This window comes from Homo sapiens, chromosome 7, assembly GCF_000001405.40.
Source record: "Homo sapiens chromosome 7, GRCh38.p14 Primary Assembly".
Taxonomy (NCBI): domain Eukaryota; kingdom Metazoa; phylum Chordata; class Mammalia; order Primates; family Hominidae; genus Homo; species Homo sapiens.
Genome location: NC_000007.14, coordinates 78480967 through 78501056, shown reverse-complemented (window position 1 = coordinate 78501056; position 20090 = coordinate 78480967). Strand labels below are relative to the sequence as shown.

Genomic DNA, 20090 nt, shown 5'->3' with positions numbered 1-20090 from the left:
GAATGCAGTGGCACAATCACGGCTCACAGCAGCCTCAACCTCCAAGGCTTAAGCAGTCCTCCCGCCTCAGTCTCCTGAGTAGCTGGGGCCACAGGTGCATACCACCATGCCTGGCTAATTTTTGTATTTTTAGTAGAGGTGGGGCTTTGCCTTGTTGCCAAGGCTGGTCTCAAACTCCTGGGCTCAGGTGATTGCCCACACTGGCCTCACAAAGTGCTGGGATTACAGGGGTGAGCCACTGCGCCCAGCCAAAAAAAATGCTTTTAGCATTTGACCCCAGTGTCAGATGTCAGTAAAATAATTTGGCTTTGTATAGTTCATTATGCTCCCTTTTACTATATTCCATTATATTAGTTGCTTACAATTTTTATGACTTGCTAAGGAAACTGTAGTGCAAATCCTGAACTTCTTGGTAATACTCAACCTAATCTTTCTTTTAGGACATTTTTAAAAAATATAATTTTTGTATACATGTTATTAATAATGTCAGGCTTTTCTTTTCTTTAGCTTCTAGGATTAAAACAACTTTTTAAAAATTCCAAAATAGAAAATCTTCGCACAAAATTAAATTGTTGATTTGCACAAGACAACCAAAATGTTCATTAGTAAGAGTAAAAACTGAAACTAATGTGAATGAACAACCCTTATCCTCTCAAAGTTGTATAAGCCTCAAAGAGAGAAAATAATAGAAATTGAAGTTTTTAGTGTTGACAGTGGATAAAAATATGAAAACTCTGATTATTTAAGAAATACATTAACACTGGATTTTCTTTTCCAACCTGGAGTGATTTATAACTTAGATCTCTATAGGCAGAATTCAGTTGTGAAATTGAAATGTTACCACATACCAATATTTAATTCTCACGTGAAGTTGGAAACTCTGAATCATGCGACCAAGGGACTACATAATCAGGTAATTACTCAGTGCTCTGCTTGACTCCAACATAGATGAGAAACACAATGTTTTGCAGAAAATGAATCAATAGCATTCACCTTTCAGCAAATGTTCTAATTTTAAAAGGAATAAGAATCTCTTACATTATTTCTTATTGCTGTAATCAATGACCAAGGCATCTTTTATCAATTAATTGGAAAATAGAAAGAATGTTTAAAAAAGTGACCTATTAAAAATAATCATATCTAGAAACATAATTTTGATATTGGTAAAGACAGCATGACATCATTGCGGACCAGAAGTCAAAATACAAATCTTAGATATGAGATCACAAATAGATGTTCAGAACAATTGATGTTCGGAATAAGGAAGCTGATGACATACATAGTTTTATTATATAAGACAAGGGGAGTAAGGCTATATGAAAATAATAAAAGGAAAGCAGCATGACAAGTTGATTAAAGACTATTTTCTTACAATGTTTCCAATAATGCAATAATAAAAACCTTTTTTGTGTGTGATTATAAAGTAAACTTTCCTCTTTTAACTACATCAGGTTTTGAGGTTGTGAAGAAAAATAACTTCAAAAGACAGAACTTATGTTCCAGGTATATAGTAAGTAGTGAGGCTGGCTCAGGGCTTGAGAGAATCTAGCAAAATGATTCTATGACTCGTCAGTCAGCCAGTGTTGGCATTCAAACATGTGTAAGATTTTGTCCTTGCTTTCAAACTTGTTGGCAAGATGGGGAAGAGAGACAAATAGTTATAAACACTTGGTCAACAATTTCTGAATTTTGTGATACTATTCAGGGAAGCCAAAGCTTACAATAGATTTAAGATATAAAAGGGGCACCGCAGAGAAGGTGAGATAACATAGACTTGAGAAGTTAACAATGGCTAGATAGAGCATTCCAGGTATGGGAGCTGTCATTACAAAGACGAAGTCCTTAGGTGTATTAGGAATGGTGAGGAAGCCCCTGACCCTACTAGAGAAGTATGTATTAGTTGGTAAATCTTAGTTTTCGTTTCACTGGATCATTAGTGCTTTTGAAAGGCAAGCAAAGGAGTGGCATTTTGTTGTTGTTGTTGTTGTTGTTGTTGTTGTTTGAGTTTGTAGTTTTTTAATCTTCCTAATGTTGGAGGGAAGGACTGGTGGACAGTATTAGGAGCAGAAATGGATGGAGGTGGAAAATTAAAACAAAATGGAGGAAACAATTTCATCTGTGGCGAAAGAGCTGATGCTGAGGGAGACTAAGGTGAAAGAAGGAGCCTGGAGTCATGGTGGAAGTGACTGTGTCTGGAAGGTGATTAACAGAGGAGGCAGGATCGAGGTAGTCTACGACGCCTGCTAAGGTTCCTCCATAGACTGGAGGCATCCCTGCCCGCCTGCTCCCCAACACCCTCCACCTTACCCCCAGTTTGTGATTCATCTGTCTTTCATAAAGGTTACCTTTGAACCTCAAGATTCGGTGTGGTGAACGCAGGTATCACAGAGCGGGCAGTGGATCAGCGTCTTTTTGTCTGGTCCTTCATGTCCATACCATCACCACCAACAACGTTGCAGTTTCCTCTCTCTCTGCCTATGGTTTACTGTGCTTTACTTTTTCTTTAGTATTCACTGATTTTCTCCTGTCTGTTTTCACTCTTTGCCCTGGAATATTCCTTCCTTTCCTAATTACATTTAAATCAACATTCCCACCCATTGTCATTGATCTGTGAGAACCTTTGCTTCTATGACAAAGAATTCTTATGTAACTAACAAACTGTATACTATGAAAGGCCCGTAGAAGCAGATCTTGTAGAATACGAGACAGTGATTGGGGAGGGAGCATGGTTGAGCAATAAGACATGTCTTAAGGACAAAGCCACCATGTGTCTCAGAGGTAGTCCTGAAGTAGTTATGTACCAGAAAGCATGATAGAAAGGGAAAGTAGAAATATGTTCACATTGTGGGATGGCTCAGTTAAGCTACTTAACATATGCATTACCTCACATACTAGTCGTTTTTTGTGTTGAGAACACTTAAAATCTACTCTCAGCCATTTTCAAAAGTCTAGTACATATGATTTTTGTTTATCAATTAAGTAAATAAATAAATAAAAAGTTTTTTTAAAGGAAAGGTAGAATACCGTAAGAGGAAGGTAAACCAGAGGGAAAAGAAAGGAGAAGAAAAATGAGAGAGATTTGTGAGGGAAGAAGTGCTGACATCAGTAAAAACTTTTCTCTTGTACAGATATTGTGAGAGCTGCTTACAGTAATGAAACTCTCCTCTGGCAGGTCCCACCCTTTAATTAGACTTTGCTGAAGTCTGTATCCTTTGAAATGAAGATCATGACAAAACAGAAAATAAGTGAAACAAAGGAGAATGATTCTTTGGTTCTGTGTATAAGATAGAAAGATAGATAGATAGATAGATAGATAGATAGATAGATAGATAGAATAGTTATTTCTGAATAGCATAAAGGAACTCTACAGTGAAACATTAGATATGTAGTTTTAAAAGACGTATTAAACAGTATAGGTTTTGAGTTAAGGTAACAAGCAATTCCATTTACTTGTCTTTTTTTATGCAATAATGTTTTGAAATATTTATTGGTTTATGTGATATTGCAAAATAGTTATATGGCTGAGTCCTTTAGAAGTTCTGAATTTAAGAGGTGAAGTTTTAGAGGTTCTGCATTTAAGAGGGAAAGGTTTTTTCTGCCCTCAGCAACCCTGGTAAACTAGCAGGCCAACTATGTTTCCCACACTACTCAAACTGCTTCTTTTGATGATTGATAAAAGCAGATTTCTTCTATCCTATAGAATGACATTTAATTGGAAAAGGAGAATTGCTGAGAAAATATTTTTATGCAGCATAATTTTAAATTTCAAGTGAACACACTCTTCCAAACATGCTTTAAAATAGTAATAATGTCTTATGTTTCATAATTTTCAGGAGACTTTTAAATGTATAATACTGTGTAAAACCAGTAATCTCTTTGACTCATCATCTTCATTAACATTATCTTTGAAATAGGCAGTATATTAATTGTAAATTCAAATGAGAATATGTGAATTCAAATGAGTTATTACATATCAAGGACCCACCTTTTTAAGGGTGTATTCGCGTTACCTTAACAACAATAGTTCATCTGTTAAGCGTTTTTACTCCATTCACTTAATCCTTACTTTATGAAACTGAGACTTTTAGAGGTAAATACTTGCCAAAAAGTCAGACATAGCCAGGGCTCTTTGATTCTGTTTATTCAACAGAGGTTTATTGGTCATGTATTATGTCCTGGGAATCATTCTAAACCCTGAGAATACAGTAGTCAAAAAAACTGACAAGATTCAGACTTTCACGCGATGTAGACTGTCTCCATGGTCCTTGTTCTTAACCAATTTGCTGTGATGCCTACTTCACATCATCACCACCCTATAAAGTGTCTGGTTTATCCACATTTCATAGACGAGACTTTGAGGCATCCTTGGACAAATTAACATTCCCAAGGTCACAGAGCTCTTTCACTCTACAGAGTCATTCCCATTATCTCATACTACCTCCAATAGAAACAAACATTGGCTGAGAAAAAAAGTAAACTTTTATATTACAAATAGTATTTGTTTTATAAGTTTCTTGGCCAGCAATTCACTACTCCAGAGGCTAAATGTTCCATAAAAGAAGAGCTGCCACAGGGTTAATCTGGATTGACGTGCTTTGGGAATCCCATTAAATTACTTCTTTGTTTGGGAGTCAGTTTAGTTAGTGACACAAAAGAGACTGCTATTGCTTTGGCAAAAAACAAAAAGACAACAAGAACCTATTTGTTTACTGCCATCTTCCCAAACGGCAGTGAACACTATGTCATCTTAAATGACAGATTTTTAAATGCAGGCTTTTGAAACCGAAAATCACATCTGTGAAAAATGTCATAGCTGTGTATGGTTTACAAATATTTGTCAGGGCTGAATTTGCTTTTAAATTCTAAACAAACACACAATTAGTTTATGTTTCTTTTTGTGTTCCTATTTCTGTACCTCCTTAAGTTTTAATTAAATTACCAATTACCATTTCCAAAAAACGTTAAACAACATTTATTAAAGAAAAGATAAAATACTTTGGAAATTTATTGGAGAGAAATATAAAATCAAATTTTTGGTATGCAGCAACACCAGAAATATACTTTCTCATTCTATACTTGACATATCGTACTAGTCACAAAATCTGGTCTAGGCTTACTGTCAATCATATTACAAAGACAGGAGATACATTGAATATTTTTTCATATATTTTTTTTCTTGTGCCTGCACAAGATTCTGGTGTAATTTCCAGACAGAAAATAAATGTTTTAGACAAAACAGTGTGCAATACACATCCACAATATCCAAAACAATATTTGTAATGAAACTTCTTTAAAAATATTTTCTAAACACATGAAAGATAAAATGGCAAATGCAAATATTCATATGCTTAAGAGAAATTGTAGGAAAATTATTTAGGAAACAACCACTAAAGAACTCATTGACAGTAGCTTTATTTGTGTATTACCTATGTATAGATAGAAAAACATAGTGAAACTTTGGGTGAATGGAGTCTTGAAGGAACAAGTTTCTATTGTTTATCACCAATTAGATATATCCGATCATTGCCTTTAGTAATTATTTTGAAATGATGATATAGAAGGAAGAGAAAGTCTTTTGGAAAATGTTACAATCATCCTGATGATTTTATTGACTATGGTGTAAAATCTACTCAATTTATATACCTTTAAAAATTAATGTTTTTCAGCAAACTAACAGATGAACAGAAAACCAAACACCGCATGTTCTCACTCATAAGCAGGAGTTGAACAATGAGAACACATGGACACAGGGAGGGGAGCATCACACACCAGGGCCTGTTGGGGGATAGGGGCCTAGGGGAGGGATAGCATTGGGAAAAATACCTAATGTGGATGACAGGTTGGTGGGTGCAGCAAACCACCATGGCATGTGTATACCTATGCAACAAACCTGCACGTTCTGCACATGTACCCCAGAACTTATAATAATAATAAAAGTGTTTTGTAAACGTAAAGTCAATTCATCAATCTGTTACTACTGTCTCTGAACTTATATCACTACTACTATTGAAACCTTGTCATCCACAGACATTTTGAGTTGCTGTTGACTCCAGAATATTTACCTGAACCTTGTTTATCTTCTTCAGAAGATTGTTTTATGCAATCAAATGTCATTGGCTTTAATCTCTTGTTATTCTTATGGCATAGTATTTCCCGGGGGCGGGGAGGCTGGGAAATACCATTTAACTATCAGTTTAAGATTGAGATTCAGAATTGGCTATTTGGAGGACTTATTAATCATTGTTTTAAGTCTGTTTCTAGTTTTAGAGAAAACGGAGCAAAGGAAAGGAATGTGTTTAATAATAAAAGCTTTTCATTTCACTAAGAAAATTTCAGTTGATGAAATTGAATTTTTCCAATAGTTGTACAGCAGTGAAAACATTTTGCTCTGGCAATATTAAAGAACGAAAGAAAAGAAGAAAAGAAAACAGAAAGAAATTAGAAAGGAAAGGAGAACATGTTTTAATATTAGGTTTGAATTAGGTTACCCTTGAAGATCTAGTTATGTATATACCTAAGAAATGGAAAAAAGGTTTGTACCCTGACTGGGCAAACACTAGAGTGAATGAAAAACTGGAACAGAAGAATAGAATATGGCATGATCTATAAGAAAATTTTCAATTTTGCTCCTAACACATACTGCATCCATTGATAGCATTTCTTAATAACATAATTCTTTAATATAGCTTCTAAGACCAAATATTCATATGTAGATTATATGAATCAGGTTTCTAAAAAGACTTCATTTTAGAAAAATATTCAGATTTGAGTGAAGAAAATTTGATTTGAAAGTGATTCAGGGCCAGGCACGGTGGTTCATGCCTGTAATCCCAGTAATTTGGAGGCCAAGGCAGGCAGATTGCTTGAGCTCAGGAATTTGACCCCATCTCTACAGAAAAATACAAAAAATTAGTCAGGTATGTGGCATGCACCTGTAGTCTAGTCCCAGCTACTTGGGAGGCTGAGGCGGGAGAATCACTTGATCCCAGGGGGTGGAGGTGGCAGTGAGCCAAGATCATGCCATTGCACTCCTGCCTGGGCAATAGAGCCAGATCCTGTCTAGAAAAGAAAAAAAAAAGAATAGGAAAGAAAAAGAAAGTGATTCAAATACAGAATTTAGGTTTGTAAGGAGAAAACTTTCCAGTGGTATTATCAATGCCTCCTCAATCACAGTGCTCTCTTTTGTCTCTATGCACATGGAACTTTAATATCATACTTATTAAGTGCAAAGCATTTACACTTAAAAAGGAATTTAAGTAGTGATTAACTATCCATAAACAGTAGGTAAAAGTCTGTTTCTAAACTACTGGCAGAAGCTGGGAAACAGACTCTTGATTACTATTCCAGGGAGTGAAATGAAGCACCTCAGTATAAAAAGCCAAGTGTGAGGTTCCGGATGCCTCTGGTTTCAGACCACTAAAAAAAAACCTTGTACCTGGAAACCAGATATATCTGGGTTTAATGCTAGCTGGCTCTTTCAGTTTCACGCACTAGCTGTTTAGCCTTGGGCAAGTTACCCACCTTCCCCCAACCTGGGTTTCTCCATCTATAAAATGGAATTCATAATGCTTAGCCACAAAGGCTCATTAGCATTAAATGAGGGGACATATCTGAAAGTCCTGCTGCTTTCCCTGACACAGTAGACAATCGAGAAATGACACGGGATAGTGAGAATAACTCTGCAATGGTGTGCTGCACTGTAAATAGCTTTTCTTGTTGAAATGAAGCATGTTCTATGTGAGAAGAATGTTTTCTCAGAAGATAGGATATTAACCTGCTGCTTCTGTCAGTTTGGCAAAAGTTAAGCTTACAAATTGTACAGAAATGTCTGCTCATTGCTGATCCACCTATTGCATATTTTCAAGGCCATTCTGATATGAATTTAAACTAGAAATGCGGACTTGACTGAAATTTCACTTCTGGCTTACTTTAGTCCTCTAGACAGACCCAGTGTTTAGTTTAACATCAGAGAAGAGTTTGGGATATGCCCATATGATAAACCATTGTTTCTGGTTTTCATCCAGGTTTTTAAATATGACAGTGACTGAACTTAAATATCCACTGGCTTTTTCACTTGACCTCTCACTTTTCATGATCATCACATTAGCTTTATCCTAAAAATACATGAAGTAGTATATTAGTATGATTCAAAGTTCCTAAAAAATATCTGTTGCATTGTCCAGCTGGAATAAGAAAAGTTTATGTGCAAATGTAGCCTATGTATGTGTATGTGTCTCTGTTAAAGAAACTTGAATTGAAATAGAAAATTATATAGCATTGGCATTTTCTTTTCCTGGTATTTATGTGACACACAGTTTGGATAGATACAGAAAACTGATGTCATGCACCTGAATCTGCCCTAGCTAGGAACTGAAAGGAAATACCCTCCTTAAACTTGAAAGATAGTACGCAGAATGTGGAAGAATCCCTCAATTATCCCATTCTGAACACAGTTTCCTGCCTGACATTTAATTCGGTTTTCAAATGGAATTATTAAGCTTTAAAATATGTAATTTAAGGGAAGTAGAAGAGCTGGTTGGTCTGTTGTCTCCCAATGCATTAAAAATAATCCTCTTTGCAAGGAATCTTGGAGGAGCATGCAAATTACAAGGCTGGTGAGAACCACTATTGAAAAATACTGTGCTGGATCTTCATGTGATGTTTAAGACAATTACTGGAGGTAACTGCTACCCACATTGCTTTCAGAATCATTTCTGAAGATCAGCTAAAAATGGTGTTAACTATAAGAGACTCAATCTGTCAAAATGTATTAAAGTGACACACCGTTAATACTGGTTCAACCTAAAAAAAATCAGCCTGTAATGAAATGCTTTATATAAACTCAGGAAAGCTGGAAAATTCACAGTTCTCTACTAAATTAGCCAGTATTTGAGACCCATGGTGGTGTGCAATAGGAATGGTAATTTGACTCTCTGCAGTGGCTTAGTAATGTTCCCTTAATACTTACCCATGGATGTGTTTGCTTTTGTGAATATATCTAAGGAGCCTAGAAATGACTTTTCTCCGAAAAGAGGAAAGGATTTGGAAGAAGCAGGTGAGGACAAAAGGAAGAGAAATGTATTTTCCTTGCTTACTTCCCAAGATTTCTCCCCACCTCATAGAAACATAGACATCAACACACACACACACACACACACACACACACACACACACACACACACACAATTTGAACGGAGGCATGTCTATAAAGGGCATTTTTAAGTGATTTCTTTTTTAAAATGAGAGCAGCAAACACTGAACCCGGTGCCCCTATCCTCACATTAGGAATAGTCAGAACCTGCATCCTCAAGCTTCAAGTCTTTAGTTCAGAAGAAAAGCTAGCTTATATTGACATGCAAACGAGGGCCAGAACCAGATGAAAGTGTCTGCAATATTTTATATCCTTCTAAAACTTGATAATGAAGCACCACCAGACTTTACAAGGGTCAAATTGAGGAAAAATAAAAGCTGGCATGCTCTCCTGTTGATTTATTATTTGATCAAATTCACAGCCTTTATCCGATCAATTTATTAGAGCCCTGTTGAGAGGCATTTATCATCGAAGAGCCCTTAAATGTTAAGAATGTGATGGAGAATACCTTCTCTTTATTCCATGTGAAAGTCAGAAATAAAATGGCGTCTTCTTCAGGAGCAGAAACTTCATGACCCAAGGGTCGTTATGTCACAGTTCTCAAATTAAAGATAGCTCTATACCTAGACAGATGGGATGGATTATCATTCAGAAAATGCTATTTGAAGAGTGATTTAACACCTCGGAATAGCTTTCTGCTACTCATCTTGACTCCATCCTCCCTCTTTCCTGGCTTGAAAGTTCCTCCATTAAGAAGGAACTTGGTTTTTACACACTTGTGATTAAATATACTGCCTGGGTGAATTGTCTAAACTTCATTGTAAGTACAGATTGGTTTATCAGATTATCTAGCTAACATTTATGGTTATGATTGGCAACATATAGTTAAATTTCATTAAAGAAAGAGAATACATGTGAAATTTATATCATCATTATCATTTTGACCTCCTTACAACTGTAGTAAAGTATGCCTATTACCTGGCTCTGATTTCTATTTCCATCCTCTCTTCTATTCTTCCTTTCATGTTCCATTCATTGGCCTTCTGACTGTTCCCTAGAAACACCTCACACTTTCCCACACCTGTGCCTTTGCTCATTCTTTTCCCAAACCCCTCATAAATGTCACATTCTTGATAATTTGTCCATTGGTAGATGAGATCCCTTGAGACAGCTGTACACAGTAAACATTTTAGCTCCAATGAGCAGTTATGTGAGCCATGAGTGGTTCTTGAATTGTAATGTGCATAAGAAGTACTGGGAGTGCTTGCCAGTGATGGAGATTGTGTAGCCCCACCTCAAAGATTCTTATTTGATAGTTCTTTGAGGACTCAGAATATGCATTGTTAATATGTGTTGTCCACCAGGTAATTCTAATGCAGGTTATTTCACAACCACTTTAAAAAACACTACTTTAAGAATATCTCTCCTTTACTTTTTAAATTTCTGGCAAAACTCTTACAAGAAAACATTTTTTTCAAAAATATTATTTTATCATTACTTTCTGGAAATGCCATTTCAGAAACATTAGAATGCAGGCAGTCTTATCCCCTACCTTCTGAGCTGGGTTGAAAGTATTTGGATGAAAGATAGTTTAATGTGAGTTAATAAAATTGCTATTAATCACTTATTGAGAAAATGCAGGAATCCCAAGAACATGCTATAATCTGCATCACTTTTGTACTGCCTCTGCCAGCTCTGTAGCTAAAGAGTAACAAAACAACTGTTTATGAAAAGGGTAGGTTTAAGATGAAAATAATTCTTTTGCAAAACTCAGGAAACATTATCAGAGCCTGTGGACTGTGCTCTTCCAACTGGAGAATCCTGTATTTGTAATAAATTCCTTTTGCTCTGGATGAGTTCTGCATTTTCAATGAGGTTAACTTGGCAACATTCTAGTTGATTTTAATAAAAATAGCTGCTTTGAGGACAGGGAGCTGAGGTTGCCAAATTTACAGCTGCCTTGCACAATTACTCTTACACCTCCTTCAGGGCTACTTAGAACCAGTAAGCAAATTAAGTGTATCGATTGCAATTTTGTTGGACTAACCCTGCTTTTTTTTTCTTAAGGAATAAACTTGATTCCTTTTAGTATGTGTCTGTTCAGAGTGATCTCTTTTCTTTTCAGCCATAACACAAAGACAACATCATGGCTGGATCCACGACTTGCGAAAAAGGCTAAACCTCCAGAAGAGTGCAAAGAAAATGGTAGGTTATTAAGTTTTTATGGTGTTTCAGCAATGTGCTTTGAGAATGTTTGTGTTTCTTAAATGAGAGTCTCACCTGAAGAGGCAATAATCTAGCTGAAACAATTTTAACGATGTAATGTTTAATGCTCAGATAAGAGAGAGAATTAACTCGGCATTTCAGCAGGGCCATGTGGTTTTGCTTTTTCTCTCTGAGGAGACTGTGCTGAATATCACATCTCTGTCATCTCTGTTGGTTCTGTTTGACTCCTGGCCTGACTTTCCACCACCTACTAAGGACTTTTTGTTTGCAATACGTCGCTCTGAGGACTCTGATCTTTTAATTGGAGTCAGATATGATGCATAAGAGAAACAGTTTGTGGCACTATAATATTTGATTTTGTTTTGAAAGGCTTAGCATTCTAGCAGTTATTAAGGACTCAGAAATATAAAGACATGCTTTCCTTGAATCAAGCATTTAAATAAAATAACCAGTTGCCTGAATGTCTTAGATTATCCTTAGTATTTTCCAGTTCTCAATATTCTAATATTGACCTGCTTTAAAATAGACCGTTTTCGTGCATGTGAAGAATCTTTTAAAAATAATTTTGAGGACTAGATGAATGTAAACCTTGTTTTTAAATTCATAAATTATGTGGGTGAAGTCTGTTACTGATGATACTCTTAATTTTTTAAAATATTGAGTTTAATTTTAAAGGAGCACTTACAGTTTAGCTAAGATGATCAATAGCATACTCTCTGATGATTTATTATTTGACCACAATCACATACTTTATGTGATTAAATTATTAGAGCTCTGTTCAGAGGTTTCTGTCACTGAGGAGCTCTTAAAGGTGAAGAAAACAGCAGAGAATATTTGAACGTTAAACAAAGTTTTTAAAAAGTTAACTTTTAAAAAAGTGTCTCATTCTAAAAGGCCTTTCTTTTCAAGCATAATTCTGACTTTCTCAGATACTGTCCACATTCCTATGTTATAAGGTAACTGTTCACAGGCTAGGGACTGAGTTAAATTAAAAATTAGAGATTGTAATTTATATGAACATATATAAATGTACAAATATCCAGTTTTAGTCTATATTTAATTTTGTATTCATAGCCATATCTGTACCTTTCTGTATAATAGTACAACTGTATGCAGTTGAATCCCATAAAATTATTGTATGATCAGAACTTTAAAGCATGATTTGGTTATATTTCATTGACACCAATGAAACGTGTTACAAAATGTGATAGTCTGAAAATTAACATGACCTGTTCTAACTGGGAGTTATGATTTACTTATGCCACAGTTGTAAAACCTTAATATATCCTAATTAAAGTGAATTTAACAATTTTGCAGTTCTGTGACATATGGAACTTCTCAGCTGTCTTGCACCTTTGAGTTGTTCTTTTTATTATAAAAAGCTATTAAAGTCAATTTTAAAATCCTGAGAGAGACGCAAGCATAACATATTGCATAATTATAATATTTCAATGTTATTTGTTTTTCCCACATCTCTGCTTATCAGACTTAACAGGATGGTAGGTGCCTAAAATATGATGCTGGTGTCCTCTGAACCAAATGTCATTGAGAAACAAGTTCTAGAATTCAGTTTATAGATCAGGATGATTTGTAACTTGGTCAACTGCTATTTGTTTTCATTCACTACAAAATAAATAATTCCTAGACTCTATTCTTTATATTATCGGACCGTTTTTACAGTGGAAACTAACATCTAGTTTGTTAGAATGTTATTATTCTGGACACCTATTTTAAGTTTTCTTGCCAAGAAAAGTGCTTTTAGGTAATATTGTTACCTGTGTTTTACTTTTCTTTAAATGACATAGATTAGTATTACTTATTTACAACACTGGATGTTAATGGATTGCTATTGAACTTGCCAGTTAAGTCATGATTCTTCATATGTGCCACACTTCGGCTCAGACAAAAGTTAGTACAGTAATTTTCTGAATGCAGGAATACATATAAAATGTGTATTTAAAAATGTAGAGGCTCCGATGATGATATCTTTTTCCAGCAAAGATTTGCCCTTCCTCTGCTAGCCAGATAGAGTGAAAGCTAATTACCCTAATCCAAACCAGAACTGAGCCAACGTGAGGTTGGGTTGAGTTTGCCCTGTTCTTTGAGTGTTTGGCCACCAGAGTTTTCAGCTAACATCCTAGTGCAGGTTGGCAAACATTTTCTGTAAAGGGCCAGGTGATAAAGATTTTAGAAAACGTTTTGCAGGTCATCCAGTTTCTTTGCGCTCACTGTGCAAAAGCACCATATGTCAATATACAAAGGTCATGCATGTGTTCTGATAAGGTTTTATGTATGGACATCAGAATTTGAGTGTTGTATACTTTCTTTTTCTTTTTCTTTTAAGCAGAGGAAGCAGGTTTTATTGATGGGTTGTCTCCTGAAACCAGAAAGACTACGTACTCTATTCCAGTTACCCCCATGCCTCCAGGACCACATGTTGTTCCACTTGAGGGGAGGATAAAAATTGCCTCTTGATTTTCCAAAGCCCAGTCTTTCCCTTCCCTGTGCAGCCTTAGAAACTCCGTAGCAATGCTATTTGGTATTTTGGCTTTTTTTTTTTTTTTTCCCCATCCTGCTGCAGCTACTTCCTGTCAACTAGAGGTGGAAGGTGTCCCGGGAAGCAGTTAGATGAGTTAAGTGTGATACACAGGAGAACAGGACCGTAGCCTATCAAAAGTCCCTCTGCCCTGCCTCAGTGTATTGGTCCTTCGTTGGTTACATTTCTCTTTGTGCTGGAATACCCTCTTCTGAATCAGATCAGGGATTTCCACTGCCAGCCATGGACCCGGCCCCAGAGCCATGAAATGAGCTAGTTCAAATTTGGGTACGTTCCTGGCCCACAAAGATTTGAAATGATCTGTCAGGCAATTGTGCCACCTCTGTACATCTTTGCTGTCTTTCTGTCGAGCTCAGGGACAGCAATTTCTAGGGCAGTAGTAAGATACATGATAGGAATTTCAAACTTGACGTCAAACTCACATTGCAGGAGGCCATGGATATACCAACATTTTCCAAACCACCGAGTCCCTACCTTGCTGGACTCCAGTTGGAACCATCGTTGTCGCCATTGTTGTTGTTCTCCACATACCAGATAAGGGACTGATATTCCTCCTTCAATCACTGCACCCACAACTCCCAATCTCGGGGTCCTGCATTAGTCTTCAGTGCCAGAGTCTCAGACACAACATGTCAGGTGGCCTCATCTGCCATCTTGGGCCAGGGCGAGTTTTGTATACTTTCACATAACAAAATATTCTTCTTCTTTTGATTTTTCCTCAACTACTCGAAAATGTGTAAACTGTTCTTAGCCCATTGGCCACACAAAAATTGGGGCGGGCTGAATTTGATCCACAGGACAAACCCTATCCTACCATGTTTGTGTGGGACTCTACTCTTGGCAGGTCTTGAACACCAATATTTTTAAATATTTTTCTTCTCAGGACTGCCAGACTCCCAAAAATCGGAGGTGGTTTTCAGGAGATTTAGCTTAACTCTTTTGCCTCTAGATCCTGCAGCTCCAGAATTGACAAATGTCAGGAGATAACTGACTGACTGTTTGAAATCTCTCACATCTATGTTTGTCACTCCAGTCCCTCAAGATTCCTCACTCTTCTGGTTTCTTTAATGTCCAGCAGCGGCCTTCTTCCCAGGCCAAGTCTATACTGTTCTAAGAGCCCAGACACAACAAGAGCAGCTGCAAATTCTTCCTTCACCTCTCCAGGGTTCCCTTTTGAGAATCTTAGACCTTCTAGACCACGCTGCTTCAGCTAGTTTCTGATTTCTTTAAACTGCTTATTTTTTTACATTTTATCTAGGCTTTCTGTTTTCTCATGTCTAATAAGCTACTCCATCCTATCTGGTAGCAGAAATTTTAGTGCAGTAATTTTAAAATTGTACATTTTGGATGTTACTGGGCTGGATGTCATAAAATCTTCACTGTTATCCTAATTTATATTTTAATAACTGAAGATTATATATTATTTTGTCATATATGTGTGCTTACTATTTATGAATGTATGGAGGTATGTAGTGTATGTGTAGATATGTATCTGGAAATGTTTGCACCTTCAGATCTGTTTACATAAATGAGTAAAGTTAATTCCTGTTAAATTAATATAAGAGGAATACAAGTGAAAGAGAGATGAGAGGGGATACTAACTAGACTAGAGAAAAAACTAACAAAAGTTTTCTCATTGGTATTAAGGAGAAACAGGACATGGATGGCTCAGTACAAATATATATTAAACAAGCACTTATTCTACTGACAGTAAAGCAATCATTTTGCCTTTTTACTTAAAGGATAATACTGCTACTAAACATAAAAACATACTTCCTTCTCTCACAATAGGGTTGGAAATACTGAAGTCATTATGTTCTGTGCATTTGTCATAGCTCTGTACACTTTTGGAGTTTTAGCAGCAGTCTACATGGCAGAAAAAAATGTCTCCACCTACTACTGGATTCTAATATTAGTATTTGGGGGAGTGCTGTTTAGCAAGCCAATATAGTCTTTTTTAAAATGCCACAGAAACAGCAGTTAACCACTAAATACCTTGGATGCAAGATTGGTTAAAGTGTGTATAAAGCCCCATCATATTTCTCCTCTCAGAGTCGGTAATATGGGATCCTCCTGAGATATTTTCAATCACAACCATTTCTGTGCTGACATCCCATGAGCATTGCTGGGTTAGAATCCATATCAAAAGTGAATTAAGCCTTGTAGGACCATTCTTTTCTTAACGTTGAAATGTTATTAAACCCAGTAGGATCACACTATAATGTACAGGAGAAGAAATAGAAATTGTTTAAGATTTGGAGTCAGGAAAAGCTGTTCCAAACCCTAATCTGTGGGTTCTTGGGCAAGGTACTTAATCTTTGGGAGCCCAGATTTTCTTACCTGTAAATGGGAGTTGTACCTCTTTCATGCAGATTTACCTTCACATGTTGGAAGCACAATGACTAGCACCATAAATTCTAAATAACTGCTCATTTTCTTTCCTTCAGGTAAAACTCTGAGACAGTAAATGAGCCCTATAGAAGATGACTGGGAAAAAATTCAGAATAGTTATCCTACCTTAACAACTTTGAATTACTATAGAATGTCCTTGCAAAATGGAAATGAACAAATCCATATAGGCTAAAATTATCCATCTAGCTTATTCCAGCCTGAGAGTAATACACTGGGGGGTTTCCCCCTTCAACCTGTTAAGTTGTCTCTAAATTTTCATGAAGTTATATCTGCATGAACTGGGTGGCTTTGTTTCTGTATTCAATATGTATGAATTTTAAGTGAGTTTTCTTATGTTACTACAGGAAAAAAAATTACATAATCTTAACCCATTCACCTGCATGAGTAGTGCATTTCAATTAGAATTAACTAATGCTTTGAACTAATTAATTAATCTATCTTTTTAAAAAAGTGTCCAAAATGTGCATGAACAAAGACAGCATACGCCATGCTTTACAATACATATTAAACAGGATGTTTTTCAGGAGAAGGAAGTTGCCTTTCTGAAATAGTAGAAAACGCTAATTAGTTTCAATTCATTTCTTAAATGAGTTTTATAAAACTGACACACAGATTAAAAGATTCATACTTTTGTGTTCATATTTCAGATTCTGTTTCTAAATTACATTGTTTATCTTCCCTTAAATAGGAGCTTTGGCCTTTCTCATTAAATTTGTTTTGATAATTAGTGATCCTAATTTCTCAAGAAGATTAAGTATGACCAAATTAATTTTACCTTTCAGTATTTATCTTTCTAATCTGATAAACCTGCTAAGATTATGTTTGCAAAGCACCTTGGAATCTTTCCTCAAGGAAGAACTCATAAAAAGATCCTAACAGTATTAACTATTCAAGTACTAAAACTTCAAAAATTGATTTTGTTTTTGTACTGATATTTCATATATGTTTGTAAAAAATGAAATTTCAAATATCTTAATAGAAACAATTCTTTTGTAGCTGACTGGTATTAATCATGATGTGCTTTAGCAACATTTTGAGATATGCTTCATCCAATAATATAGTGCCCTTTCCAGTCTTTTCGGGTCAGAAGTACTCAGAAATACCAACATTTTAGGAATATAAATCTTTTGTGGAGGAAATAATACAATTTATCCAAAATAAATCAGGTAGGATGGATATTCCACTGTCGTGCACCAGTACCAAATTTTGGGTTGTGGCTGGCATCTGTTCTCGTTGGTCCCAGAATCTGTTATTGATTGGTTGATGTCCAGACCATAAAAGATATTAAGTATTTTAAATATCCTTCCTGCACCAATGATTTATGTATTTTACCCTTCTACCTGTTAATATTTCATGTGGCTATAAAGTAGTGCCTAGGTAAGGATTACAAAACTCTGTCCTACTTTGTTTCTTAGTTGCTCAAGTTACTTGCATGTAGAGCAATGAATTGTATATTATCATTTCTCCTCAATGCATACAACTTTTAAAATAATATTGACATCATCAAATCTGTTTTGCACAGTAGCAGAATGATTTCAAAATTTTTCAAATATGGCTTTTTAAAAACATTTTAAATTTTGAAATAATTATAAATTCACAAGAAGTTACTAAGGAATTTACAGGAAGGTTTTAGACACCCCTCACTTGCCTCTCTCAATGTTAACTTATATAAATACAGTACAATATCAAAACTAGAAAACTGATAATGGTACAATCTGCAGATTGTATTTTGCCAGGTATACAAGTACATATATACAATATACATGTATTGTATTACAGATTGTATTTTGCCAGGTATACAAGTACATATATACAAGATCATATTTTGCCAGGTATACAAGTACTCGTGTGTGTGTGTGTGTGTGTGTGTGTGTGTGTGTGTGTGTGTGTGTAGTTCCATGTGATGATATCACATGTGTAGTTATACATAAGTATGACCACAATAGAAATTCAGAAGTGTTTCATCACCTCAGGGCTCCCTTATGCTACCCCTTCATAGCCATGCTTATCTCCTCTTCCTGACCAATCCCTGACCCTTGACAGCCACTGATCTGTTCTTCATTTCAGTAACTTTGTTGCAAAAATATTCTATAAATGGAATCACAATGTGTGTAAACTTTTGAGATTGACTTTCCACTCAAAATAATTCTCTTGAAATACATTCTAGTGTGTGTATCAATAGTTTGCTACTTTTTATTGCAGTATAATATGCCAGTAGGCTATGGCATGGATGGTACCACAGTCTGTTTTAGGGTACCCATTGAAGGACTTGTGGGTTGTATCCAGTTTTTGGCTAATATGAATGAATAAAGCTGCTATGAATGTTTGCATACAGGTTTTTATGTGAACATAGGTTTTCACTTCTCTAAGAACCCAAGAGTGCAATTGCTGGATTATATACTAAGTGCGTTTCAGTTTTAGGACAAACTGCCAGACTATTTTCTAGAATGGTTATACTCTTTTACATTCCCACCAGCAGTGAACAAGTGATCCAATTCCTCTGCATCCTTGCCAGCATTTGAGGTTATGAGTATTTTTTAAATTTTAGCCATTCTGACAGGTGTGTAGAGATACTGCTTTTTGGTTTTAATTTGCATTTCCCTAATTGCTAATGATATTGCACATCTTTTTATATGATTATTTGTCATATCTATATCCTAATTAGTGGCAAATCTGATCATGTCTTTTGCCAGTTGTTTGCTTTTTAAACTCAGTTTTGAAAGTTCCTTATGTATACATGTTCCTTTACATATCCTTACAGATATGTTGCTTACGAACATTTTCTCCAAGTCTGCAGTTTGTATTTCCATCCCCTTAACAGGATCTTTTACAGATAAATATTTTTAACTTTGATAAATCCAGATTATCATTTTTCCTTTTATGAATCAGACTTTTGGTATCAAGTCTAAGAACTCTTCAATCTAGCCCCAGGTCCCAATTTTTTTTCATGTTTTTTCTAAATATTGTATAGTTTTATTTTTTATGTTTAAGTCTGTTGTGTATTTTGGGTTAATTTTTGTTAAATGTATAAGAGTTAGGTTAAGGTTCTCTATTTTTTTTTCCCTATGGATGTTGAACTGTTCCAGCACCATTTGTTGAAAAGGCTATTCTTCTTCCATGGAATTGTGTGTGCACCTTTGTCATAAACTGTTGGATTCTGTTCATCTATGGGTTTATCCCTTCACTTGTACCACACTGTCTTGATTTTTCAGCTATATAGTAAACCTTAATATTTGGGTAGAGTGACTGATATGGTTTGGCTCTATGTCCCCACCCAAATCTCACCTTGAGTTGCAATCCCCATGTGTCGAGGGAAGGACCTGTAATTCCCATGTGTCAAGAGAGGGAAATGACTGAATTATGGGGCAGTTTGCCCCATGCTGTTCTCATGATAGTTAATTCTCACAGATCTAATGGTTTTATAAATGGTAGTTTTTCCTGCACTCACACACACTCTCCCTCTCACCTGTCGCCATGTAAGATGTGTCTGCTTCCCCTTCTGCCATGATTATAAGTTTTCTGAGGCCTCCTCAGCCATGTACAACTGTGAGTCAATTAAACTGCTTTTCTTTATGAATTACCCAGTCTCAGGAAGTTGTTATAGCAGTGTGAGAACAGACTAATACAGTGATAGTTCCTACTTTACTCTTATCAAAATTGTTTTAGATATTTTAGGTCTTTTGCCATTTTATATAAATTTTAGGAGAAGCTTTTCTAGAACTACAAAAATCTTGTTGGGATTCTCATAGGAATTGTATTAAACCTCCAGATTAAGTTGACAATAATATATATCTTTACTGTGTT

The 20090-nt window shown here is 35.8% G+C and overlaps 1 protein-coding gene and 1 pseudogene across 15 annotated transcripts in view, besides 2 other annotated features; one reads left to right on the top strand and one right to left on the bottom strand.

The window, feature by feature from the left end:
* Window positions 1-20090, top strand: part of MAGI2 (membrane associated guanylate kinase, WW and PDZ domain containing 2) — a 1436613-nt gene that overhangs the window by 952611 nt on the left and 463912 nt on the right. For 14 of the 15 annotated variants that reach the window (XM_047421093.1, XM_017012845.3, NM_001301128.2 and 11 more), the window contains one exon: window positions 11217-11296. In XM_047421093.1, the coding sequence (XP_047277049.1) occupies window positions 11217-11296 (80 nt within the window). Of the gene's footprint in view, window positions 1-11027; window positions 11096-11216; window positions 11297-20090 lie in introns of those variants that run through there. The other variant, XM_011516728.2, reaches the window with a different exon arrangement.
* Window positions 1963-2463: an enhancer, noted in NCBI's record as "H3K4me1 hESC enhancer chr7:78127911-78128411 (GRCh37/hg19 assembly coordinates)". NCBI's record gives its function as "activates a minimal SCP1, AML or CMV promoter by ChIP-STARR-seq in primed H9 embryonic stem cells {active_cell/tissue: H9 hESC(primed)}" and the evidence as "EXISTENCE:reporter gene assay evidence [ECO:0000049][PMID:30033119]".
* Window positions 2464-2964: an enhancer, noted in NCBI's record as "H3K4me1 hESC enhancer chr7:78127410-78127910 (GRCh37/hg19 assembly coordinates)". NCBI's record gives its function as "activates a minimal SCP1, AML or CMV promoter by ChIP-STARR-seq in primed H9 embryonic stem cells {active_cell/tissue: H9 hESC(primed)}" and the evidence as "EXISTENCE:reporter gene assay evidence [ECO:0000049][PMID:30033119]".
* On the bottom strand, window positions 13662-14541 carry UFC1P1 (UFC1 pseudogene 1; annotated as a pseudogene).